Raw genomic sequence first — 12,135 nt, forward strand, 5'->3', positions numbered from 1 at the left:
TCACTTTGCCACAACTAAAAATCTGAAAACTGTACTTTCTACTCCATTCTCTAAGAGAATTGATAAAACTGGGAACAAGATAGGCCAAAGATATATTCCCAATGCTAACCAAGGAAAGACAACTAATGAGCACTAAGGTACAACCAGCTAGAAATTTATTTAATTATAAGATTCTGGAATTTAAAAATAAAAACAAAAAGAGGCCGGGCACGGTGGCTCACGCCTGTAACCCCAGCATTTTGGGGAGCTGAGGCAGGTGGATCACTTGATGTCAGGAGTTCGAGACCAGCCTGGCCAGTAAGGTGAAACCTGTCTCTAATAAAGAGATACAAAAATCAGCTGGGCATGGTGGTGCACACCCATAATTTCAGCTACTCGGGATGCTGAGGCAGGAGAATCACCTGAACCCAGGAGGCTGAGGTTACAGTGAGCCAAGATCATGCCACTGCACTCCAGCCTGGGCAACAAAGTGAGACTCTGTCTCAAAAAAAAAAAAAATTGAAAAAAGAAGATTCATTCTACTTATAGTTCACACATGGTCCACAGGATATTAAATGATTTTGTTTATCTATATTTCAGCAACACATTCAAGAGATTACAGCAATCCTATGGTCCACTAGTGAACAGAATGAAACATAACTCATAATAAATATTTATTGCTAAGAGCTAGTTATATAAGTAAACACACCTTTATATATAAAAAGTTAAATAAGACTATAATGAAATAGAAACACAAAATTTTAATAAGTACATTTAACATATAGAAATATTTAATGTTTTGAGACAATAAAGTTTTTTTTTAATTTTTTTCTTTTCACTGACTCAGTTGGCCCAGAATTATCCAGGAATTTCAAGGGTCTAAAATTTTTTCATTCTGAACTGAGGAAGTAATGAGTATCCAACCAAGAAGAATTTATATATCTCTCCAAATGCCAAATTTATTTTCTCCAAGTGCCAAATCATTCATCATTTGGTTCAGTAGCTATGAAATGCAACCCAATGTGAATGCATGTGCTCACATACGTAACACTACTGATCAGCAATGGCTTATATTTATAAACTCTATTTAAGCTGGAAAAAGATAAAATACAAATTCTTATTAACAACCATTAAAACACTCAAAGCAAATTTTAATTGTCACCAGTAAAAATCATGCACAATTTTTAAAACTATACTTCCTTTTGATACTCTAACAAGGCTAAACAATTGCACTAGCCCATTCCACTCTTTATTGCTTCTTTCACTTTGTATGCTTCTTTCAAAATTTCACTGATTCAGACTTTATAATCTCAAAAGTTTTGAAAATGTTGGTATTGGATACTAAGAAAGGTAATACTACAATATTAAACTGCTAGTCATTATAATTAGCTCATATTTTTTCAACCTTCGAATGTCTGAAAAGTCTTTACATCTTCATTTGTGGTTGGGTACAAAACTCTAGGTGAATGGTTTGGTTTGGTTTCTTCCTTCCAGTACTTTAAAGATGTTCCCAATGTCCTCTGGCTTGGATTGCTTGCAAAGAAAAGTCTACTATCATTCTTATCTTCACTCTTCTGTAAATGTGTGTCTTTTCTTCCTTGGGCTACTTTTAAGATCTTCTCTGTATCACTGGTAAACAGTAACTTGATCATGTATTTGGGTATAGTGTTCTGCTTTATGTTCATTTAGCTTCTTGGATATGTGGATTCATAGCTTTCATGAAATTTGCAAAAGTGCCAGCTATTATTTCTTCAAGTGTTTTTCTTCCCTACCAACTTCTTTCTGGGATCCACATATTCATGTATATTGGGTCACCGGAAGTCGTCCTGCAGTTCACTGATGCTCTGTGTATTTATTTATTTTAGCCTTTTTTCTCTCTGTATTTTATTTTGGACAGTTTCTATTACTATGTCTTCAAGTTTGCCAATCATTTCTTCTACAATGTCTAATATAGTAATCCCTACCACATCTAGAAGTCTAATTTGGGTCTTTCACTTTTTTTTTTTTTAGAGACGGAGTCTTGCTCTGTTGCCCAGACTGGAATGCAATGGCATGCTCTTGGCTCACTGCAACCTCCAACTCCTGGGTTCAAGTAATTCTCCTGCCTCAGCCTCTCGAGTAGCTGGGATTACAGGTGCCTGCCACCACGCCCGGCTAATTTTGTATTTTTAGTAGAGATGGGATTTCACCATGTTGGCCAGGCTGGTCTTGAACACCTGACCTCAGGTGATCCGCCCACCTCGGCCTCCCAAAGTGCTGGGATTAACAGTGTAAGCCACCGTGCCTGGCCTCTTTCACATTTTTCATATCTCGTCTTAACAGGTTCATTTTTTCCTCTACTTGTTGAACATATGGAGTATATTTACAATAGCTGTTTTAATGTCCTTGTCTATTACAGCATCTGTTTCTACATTTGACTTTGCTCCTTATGAGGTATATTTTCCTATATTCCTATAAATATTCTTAAACTTCGTTCTGGGATACAGTTATTTGGAAGTTCGGTTACTTGGAAACAGTGGCATCCCTTTGGGTCTTGCTTTTAAGCTTTGTTAGGGAGGGCTGGAGTGGAATTTAGTCTAGGACTACTTTGCCCCTTTACTGAAGCAGTATACCCTTTGCAGTACTCAACCTAATTCTCCATGCAGGACTTCTCCACTCTAGTTGTTAAACATGAACTATTCCCAGCCCTGTGTGAGCTCCAGAAATTTTTCTGCCTACTCCTTTTTGGTGATTCTTTCCCTGCCTCAAATGGTTTCCTTACACACTGGCACCGATCAACACTGAGCTGAAGTCTCAAACGGAGTCCTCTACAGATCTCTGGAGCTCTTTGTGCAACTGTCTCATCTCTAGTACACAGCCCTGAGATTCTGGCTGCCTTGGCCTCCCCATATTCCCTACTCAGGAATCCTGTCAAGCTTTGCTTGAGTGACTCTTCTGCTGCTGTGGCCTGGAAGCTCTCCAGGCAGTAAGCTGGAGCATTCATAAAACCCACCTCATTTGTTTCCCTTCTCTCAGGGGTCAGCATCTTGTGCTGCCTTTTGTTCAAGGTCTGCAAATCATTCCATGTATTTTGTTCATTTTGTTGTTGTTACTTAAGGTAGGAGGGTAAATCTAGTTCCTGTTACTCCACTATGGTCAGAAGCTCCCGTTATAGTCCTGAGTTACGTATATTTTATAGGACAAGTTAGAACATCTGATAGACCTGAGATGATGTAATAAAAAGCCACAGAGTTTTTACTATTCAGTGAGAGTGGAAGTTCTGCCTTTCCTTTTTATTTCCTCATAGCAAAGTTAAGTGGTGAAGAAATGAAAGCACTTAAGAACTAACTACTGGTTTGACCCTAGGTCAATCCTACTACCAACCCAGAATAAAAAAGTTTGGTTGATTTTCTTTTTAAAGAGTTGACATTTAAGTTACTTTCTATTAAATACGTACATTCCTCAGACTACAGGGGCACATAAAAAAAGAAAGAAAATAAATATGCACCTTCCAAAGGTATTTATAAAAAGAAAATGAATTTTTGCAACCCTAACATAAAGTGATATATAACAAGTCTAAATTTCATGATTTCTCTGCTGAAAAAGTCAACTATAAAAAGTCACTTCTTCCCTCAACTTGCAAATTTTTCTTTAAAAGAGACAGGACACTGCAACTTATCTAAAGGGCAATCATGTTGACAGCGTTTGGCAATTAAAAAAAAAAAACAAACTACACACACTGTTTGGCATTACCACCTACTATATTTATCCAAAAGTCTAGAACCTGACATTTAACTTGGCCCAGGAAAGAAACTTTGTTTTTAATGACTTTACTGTAAATTAAACCATACTTTCTCCTCTAATATATTAATATGTTAATAGTTTGTAGGGAAAAACACAAGTGTACAGTTCCCTCATTAGAAAATGCTACCAATTACACTCTTAACCTTAACGCCTTCCCTTATTTTTACACTTCATTCCCCACCCCTGAAAATAATAGCCACACAATATATGGTAATACAATAGCCTCACAACAGCACAAACAATAATTACAGTAAAAAAAAATTAAATGGTAGGACTATGTCATTGGGGCAGTTATCTTTCCAATCCTCAGTTTCCAAATCTCTGAAATGTGGATAAAAGCACAATCTGAACTGAATGAAATAAAGTGTGTCAAATGCCACATCTCCTGAACTGTGTGCTCAGATGCCCCACGGCACTACAGCAAACTCCCAGGGAAGCTGCATATTTTAAACAGAAGGAAACACTGAGATTCTCAACACATGCTGGAAACCAGCCAAACTATTAACCTGAGGTGCTTGAGTTGTCATATTAGATTGCAGTGCATTCCTTGGATGATATATATTAGTGAAACCGGGTTTTTGCTGGTTGCTGTGATAAAAGCAAGTGTCACTTGAAAATCAATGTGGAACAGGAAATGAGGACGGCAGTGTACTCTGTTCCAAGGTTTGAAAAGCTATGCAGGCTGGGAGCAGTGGCTCACGCCCGTAATCCCAGCACTTTGGAAGGCCATGGTGGGCAGATCACCTGAGGTCAGGAGTTCGAGACCAGCCTGGCCAACATGGTGAAACCCCGTCTCTACTAAAAATACAAACATTAGCCAGGTGTGGTAGCGGGTGCCTGCAATCCCAGCTACTTGAGAGGCTGAGGCAGGAGAATTGCTTGAACCCGTAGGCAGAGGTTGCAGTGAGCCGAGACCGTGCCATTGCACTCCAACCTGGGTGACAAGAGTAAAACTCCATCTTAAAAAAAAAAAAAAAGAAAGAAAAAGAAAAGCTATTTAGTGCTCAGTGCTCAACAAGCACACACATCTCATTAGTAAATTGTGGTTACTTATGAAGAAAATAAATGTTCTATTTTTTCTGCATTTTTTTTTTTGAACAGCTACAAAAGCTGTTGGGACACAAATATTTTTTGGACCTAACTATTTAATAAACAGAACTATTAAGTATTGTTTGTGGCCTAGGGGTGTTGTGAAAAACTTAACGAGGCCAGGCACAGTGGCTCACACCTGTAATCCCAGGACTTTGGAAGGCCGAGGTGGGCAGATCACCTGAGGTCAGGAGCTCAAGACCAGCCTGACCAACATGGAGAAACCCCGTCTCTACTAAAAATACAAAATTAGCTGGGCGTGGTGCCACATGCCTGTAATCCCAGCTACTTGGGAGGCTGAGGCAGGAGAACTGCTTGAACCCGGGAGGCAGAGGTTGCAGTGAGCCGAGATCGCACCATTGCACTCCAGCTTGGGCAACAAGAGCGAAACTCTCCCTCTCAAAAACAAAAACAAAAACAAAAACAACTTAATGAGATAATAAGGTCACCATAAAACAATGAAGTTTAAAAACCTCTGGCTTAATGTTGTGACTGGCAGAATAAGCTTCCAGTAAGTGGTAGCCATTATCATTTCACTACGATTAGTCCTTTACGCAGTTTTATAGAAAAGAGAGGATATTTCATATTCTGTAATAAAGATCTCAGAATATCATCCTATAGTATTATGACTTATATTGAGTATTATATATAGTATTATGACTTATGTTGTAAGAAAAAATTAGGTAGACAAAGAATCTCATAAGGACAACTTGGAGGAAAACCAGGTGCAGTGATATGGCCTTGCTATTTATAAAATGCATGATTTGAGTCCTAATCTGACTCAAATTATGCTACTTGAAAAGCCTGAAAGTAATCTTACCACTAGACAGATAAAAGCAATTCATCCTTACTCCCATGCTAGCATGTAATATGGAAAAGAGCAAAAGCTTTAATTTTAAGAGTTAGGAATCCATGGCGCCACCTCACCTCCCCATCTTTTACGTAGAGGTCCATAACTTCTGTTTTTAGAGTTATCCTCCATTTCCCATATGTTGACCTTTTCTTTACTCCATCTTCTATTTAGGATATAATTATGAAATGAATCATTCACTTTATTGAAGCCTGAGATGGGCTGTAAAATATTGAGATTGTGAATTTAATGCATGTATGTCAGACTGACAGCTTGTCCTTCTCCTGTGACAGTCTTTGTGTATGTGTGTGTAAACTGGAGAAAGACTAAGAACAATGAATTGTACACAAAGCTGAGAGACATCTTTTATCTCTTAATAAATTGTTTCCAGGAAAAAAATATGTACCTGTTTATAACTTGCTAACCATCACACAAGCTGCTTAAACTGGTAGATGCAGCAAACTAGTCACAGAGCTCACCTGCTACACTGAACCACTATTCCAAAGACATCAAATTGCAATTTAATCAAACACTTGCTGTACAAATACTTTTCAAAACTGAGTAATGCTAAAAATGGGTACACTCCTAAAAAACATATTAACTGTTATCTAAGGGTAAGAACTTTTTAGAAAGTGTTTTAAATAAATCAATGCAACAGAAGAAATAATAATGAAATTATTTTCTATTTTAAACAGGTAATTTTGAAGGCCAGGCGTGGTGGCTCACGCCTATAATCTCAGCACTTTGGGAAGCTGAGGTGGGTGGATCACAAGGTCAGGAGTTTGAGACCAGCCTGGCCAACATGGTGAAACCCTGTCTCTACTAAAAATAAGGAAAAATTAGCTAGGTGTGGTGGGGGGCGCCTGTGGTCCCAGCTACTCAGGAGGCTGAGGCAGGAGAACTCCTTGAACCCAGGAGGCGGAGGCTGTAGTGAGTCAAGATTGCACCACTGCACTCCAACTTGGGTGACAGAGCAAGACTCCATCTTGGAAAAAAAAAAAAAGTAATTTTGAAACAAATTAATAGTACTTATAGAAATAATAAGTAACATTTATCATAGACATTTCAAATTGGCATTTCAGAAGAACCTTAATAATGTGGTTAACAGTTATTTCCAATAGGATTTGTCAATAACAAATCTAAATAATGTGTAATATACATCTTTTATATCAGCAGTTCAGTCAGATAACAATTCTCAAAAACATAGGAAATAGGCCAGGTGCAGTGACTTATGCCTGTAATCCCAGCACTTTGGGAGGCCAAGGCGGGCGGATCACCTGAGGTCGGGAGTTCAAGACCAGCCTGACCAACATGGAGAAACCCTGTCTCTACTAAAAATACAAAATTAGCTAGGTATGATGGCGCATGCCTGTAATCCCAGCTACTTGGGAGGCTGATGCGGGAAAATCACTTGAACTTGGGAAGGGGAGGTTGCAGTGAGCCGAGATCGTGCCATTGCACTCTAGCCTGGGCAACAAGAATGAAACTCCATCTCAAAGAAAAAAAAAAAAAAAAATATATATATATATATATATATATATAATGTATGCATGTATGTATATGAAATAAGTTTTATAGGGCTGGGCTTGGTGGCTCACGCCTATAATCCCAGCACTTTGGGAGGCCAAGGCAGGTGGATCACTTGAGTTCACGAGTTCAGATCAGCCTGGCCAACATGGTGAAGCCCCATCTCTACTAAAAATACAAAAATTAGCTGGGCATGTTGGTGTGCGCCTGTAGTCCCAGCTACTCAGGAAGCTGAGGCACGAGAATCACTTGAACCCAGGAGGCGGAGGTTGCAGTGCACGGAGATCATACCACTGCACTCCAGCCTCAGTGACAGAACAAGACTCTGCTCAAAAAACAACAACAAAAATTTACGGAAAAATATCTCTTATTTTCAAACATAATAACTGCATGTTTATCAACTTTGTAATCTAGGTTAGTCTTTCCCTTGCTGTCATTCATTTAATAATCACATTTTCTTCAAGTATGAGTAAAACACTACACTAAGCACTAAGACTGCAAATATTACTAAGACACACAGGCCTTTTCCTCAAGGAGTGCGGCATCCAGACACAGAACCTGAGCAGAATTCCATATGATATGAAGGCACTATACTCAAAGTGCTACAAGAGTATTAGCACTTGGTTCAGCCTGACAGTTTCAAGAAAACTACTTAGTAGCCCCATAAAAGACAACAGCACCAAAATTCTGGAAACATGGTTATTTTGGATAAAATCTGCAAGCCAAAAAAAAGCAATCCCCTAATCTATCATAGAAAGGCCTAAATACACTTTGCTCAGAAATGAGCATCACAATCTAATTATATCAGAATATCCAGGGGGCTAGAGCCCAGACAGTAGTATTTGTAAAAGCTGCCCAGGTGACTGTAACACTGATAATGTCATAACATCATGACTGATTTAAGCTTAGAATCCTATCGACATAAAGACAGAGTCTTGAGGCTGCATTAGTGAACACGTGGGTCCCTAAGGGGATCCATTGTATGAGACTATTTTCATTGTATTTTTACTTGCAATCTTTTGGTATGTGCTAATAGTATGAAAGACAAAATTTCATGTTGGGTATCTCATGGCACTTCAGCAAAGGCCAAGAAAATTAAGTGATTGCTAATCCTCAACACTGTATGCTGACTAAAATGTCTGTTTAAAATTTACTTTTTAAAGTAAAGCCAGGGCAAGTAGAGACTTGAAATTAGGAACTTTGTGTACATAAAGACCAAGTCCTGCTAAGGTCACTTCCACCACCCCTTTCCAAGAAAAACACCTACATATGAGCATTTAGACAACAACAAAACCAGCACATAAGAAGTATGCGTCTTGGCTGCGAGCAGTGGCTCACGCCTGTAATCCCAATACTTTGGGAGCCTGAGGCAGGTGGAAACCATGAACCCAGGAGTCTGAGATCAGCAGGGCAACATGAGGAAGCCCCCTATCTACAAAAAAATACGAAAAAAATTATCTGGGCATAGTCGTGTGCGCCTGTAGTCCCAGCTACTCAGGAGGCTGAGGCAGGAGGATCAATTGAGCCCGGGAGTTCCAGGGAGTTCAATTACAGTGAGCTGTGATCATGCCACTGCACTCCAGCCTGGGTGACAGAACAAGACCATGTCTCAAAAAATAAAAGCAAAAAAGAAGTATGCACCTTGTGATACAGAGTAAGTTCTAGAGAAATGAAGAGAAGGTAGAGATAAAGGTGAGCTGGAGTGGTTGGGGCAGAGTCTTATGAAGGAAGAAGACCTGAGTAGGACCTCGGTGGGACTGACAGGCTCAGATTAGAGAAGCAGCACTCTAGCTGTCTTGGAGGAAGAAGGTGTAAAAAGCAACAGTATGATGAAGCTGAAAAAAGCATGGTGCTTGGGAAGGCACTGAGGAAACACCAGATCTCCTTAAAGGAGATCAACACTGGACAAATGACAGGTTGAGGAGTACAAACTTAATCTTGGTGAAAAACAGGGTTACACTTTGCTTTAATATAAAAAATGATTTTAGGGCTGGGCGCGGTGGCTCACGCCTGTAATCCCAGCACTTTGGGAGGCTGAGGCAGGCGAATCACCTGAGGTCAGGAGTTCAAGACCAGCCTGGCCAACATGATGAAACCCTGTCTCTACTAAAAATACAAAAATTAGCAAGGCGTGGTGGCACACACCTATAATTCCAGCTACTTGGGAGGCCGAGGCAGGAGAACCACTTGAACCCAGGAGGTGGAGGTTGCAGTGAGCCGAGATCATGCCACTGCACTCCAGCCTGGGCAACAGAGTGAGACCCTGTCTCAAAAAACAAACAAGCAAACAAACAAAGAAAAAACATGATTTTAGAAGATTCTTCAGGTAGATGAATATGCAGAATGCACTGAAATTCAGGGAGCTGGGATTATTGAAGATGAAGAGAACACATTGATATTTTCCAAGCACAGCTTCTGAATACAATAGGCATTTTTAAAGTGTGAAGATTTTAAGTGAACACTGTACAGCACAATACAAACCTTGGTATCACTCCAAAATGAAGGCCAAATTAATTTTAAAAGTCAAATGACTTAAGAAGGTTTGTTAGCTCTTAAATATTAATATGTTAAGTATTACTGTAAAGCTTATAGTAGGAAAGATAATGACATTCCAAGAGATTAGACATCCATTTATGTTAGCTTTACAGAAAGAGTCAATATTCCAACATTTTTTTTCTGAATTGCTCACATAGTCTAAATCTAATGAAAATAGAATAGCTTAGACAATATTTTAATATTCTTTCTCCTTAGAATGCACATTAATGCCAAAATAAATGTTTTAGGGCCTTTTGGTAAAAACAAACCATTATTTGGCATAAAAGACGGCTGCTGGAGGTTTTGGAAATATTATTATTCTTAGGTTTCCTAACCTTGGAGTAAAGTGTAGCAATAATTCTAAAAACTATAAGTAATACACAGTTTGTAGCTGAACATTTGACTTGCTATTATGAGTAATCATAATTAAAGAAACATTTAGAATTTATACAAGATTAGTAAGTCAGGTAACGTCACCAAAAAACACAAGCAGCTGAAAAATGCTTCCCATACAAAAACAAACATTCGCCCCACCCAACCCCCACAATATTTTAATTCAGAATTCATCAGTATAAGAATTCCACTTGTAGTAAAAAATATATGCAATGGAAATTAATACTGTACCAAGGTATAGTTTAAATACAAAAAACAACTTGAAGCAATTAAGTCCATACTGATTGAGTATAGCCAATATTATTTATACTTATTTCTTGGAAGACCTAGAGCCCCTTCTCCTTCATTCAAAAAATATATGTACCAAATATATATTTCTTATATACTGTTCTTTGCTTAAGACTTTTCATTATGTCACTATCTTTTTCCCCATCAAGATGCAATTATACTATTTAGTCAAGTTAACACTTTAACTGACATTAATATTCTACATGCAAAGAGTGAGGTCTTATGCTCTTCATTTATTGAGGCTGGAGAAAGCTTAGTAGTTTAAGATATTTAAGGGCTTATATTTGTAAGTATGCCTTTCAAACACTATTTTTAATTTATAAAGATATAATCAGTAACTAAACTAATCCCAACACTAGGATTATTTGCCTAAATCATATATATGTGTATATATAATCATATACTTTTTTTTCTTTTTAATTTTTGAAACAGGGTCTCACTGTGTTGCCCAAGCTGGAGCGCAGTGGCGAGATCAAGGCTCACTGCAGTCTCGACCTTCCAGACTCAATCAATCCGCCCACCTCAGCCTCCCAAGTAGCGGGGACTAAAGGGCACACGACGGAGCCGAACTACTTTTTGTATTTTTTGTACAGAAAGGGTTTCACCACGCTGCCCAGACTGGTCTCAAACTCCCCGCCTCAAGCGATCAGCCCCCCTTGGCCTCCCAAAGTGCTGGGACTACAGGCGTGAGCCCCCACACCTGGCATATCTTACATTAAGAAAGACCCAGTATCCAAATTAATTTTAATTTCATCCATCTGCCCCTAAAATAACTCAAACATTACTAATCTATTTTTCTTGTGGTACAATAGTCCTTTTCTTTAAATTAGACTATCAAAATACTTTTAAAAATAATACAAAATCAATCATGTATCTCACATGAAAATCTAGAGGTTGTTTACAATTCCCTTAATGAAAACACAACGGCCATAACAGAAATACTCCAACAATATTGGATAATATTAGATAATACCTACTACTATAACTGACCTACCAGTAAATATGTCAAGCAAGACACTGTATGGGTTTATGTGATACATGATACAAACTGAAACAATATTTCTTTGGAAAAAACATTTACTTTTAGAAGCAGCAGCAGAACCCAAGAAAGCAAAATCCTGCAACCAAAACCTGCATCTCCCTGCACCCCCTCAACAAAAACCTGTTAACAAAAAGTTTGCAGGAAAATAAGTTTGATTAAAAGGAAATACAAGCATAATCTGCTAGAGGAAATACAGTGAAAGGGTTGTCGGGCTCTTTTCTAAAAAATGGTTGCATCTGAATTGTTTCAAATCAAAACAGAGACCATGACAAATTGGGCTCTAACAGATGACTTACAGAGCACAGCGACAGCCCCAGACTCGAACATGAGACATTCTTCCTTATGCCTAGTTTCCACTATGAGGCTGAAAGGTGGGGGATCCAATTTGTGATAGATCCGGAATCCTTTACTGAACGCCATTCTCCTTTCTTCGGAGGCAGCCCTGCGAAAACCAAGCAAAGCAAAGCAAATGAAGCTGATGTTTCCTTCTGCAGCAAGGACTGCAAAGCATCCAAAAGTCCCTCCCCGCCAGGTTTTGATGGGGGGTTGGGGTGGGAAAAAACAGACAGCTCTGGGAGAAAATGGCTTTTTCCAAAAGATAAGTCGTCACTTAATTTTACCAAAAAGCAAGAGGAAAAGCTATCAATTC

The 12,135-nt window shown here is 38.7% G+C and overlaps 1 protein-coding gene across 24 annotated transcripts in view; it reads right to left on the reverse strand.

The window, feature by feature from the left end:
• SYNJ1 (synaptojanin 1) overlaps window positions 1-12,135 on the reverse strand; it is a 99,636-nt gene that overhangs the window by 86,231 nt on the left and 1,270 nt on the right. For 23 of the 24 annotated variants that reach the window (XM_047441038.1, XM_017028497.3, XM_017028499.3 and 20 more), the window contains exon 2: window positions 11,783-11,928. In XM_047441038.1, the coding sequence (XP_047296994.1) occupies window positions 11,783-11,928 (146 nt within the window). Of the gene's footprint in view, window positions 1-11,782; window positions 11,929-12,135 lie in introns of those variants that run through there. The other variant, XM_047441041.1, reaches the window with a different exon arrangement.

This window comes from Homo sapiens, chromosome 21 (assembly GCF_000001405.40).
Source record: "Homo sapiens chromosome 21, GRCh38.p14 Primary Assembly".
NCBI lineage: Eukaryota > Metazoa > Chordata > Mammalia > Primates > Hominidae > Homo > Homo sapiens.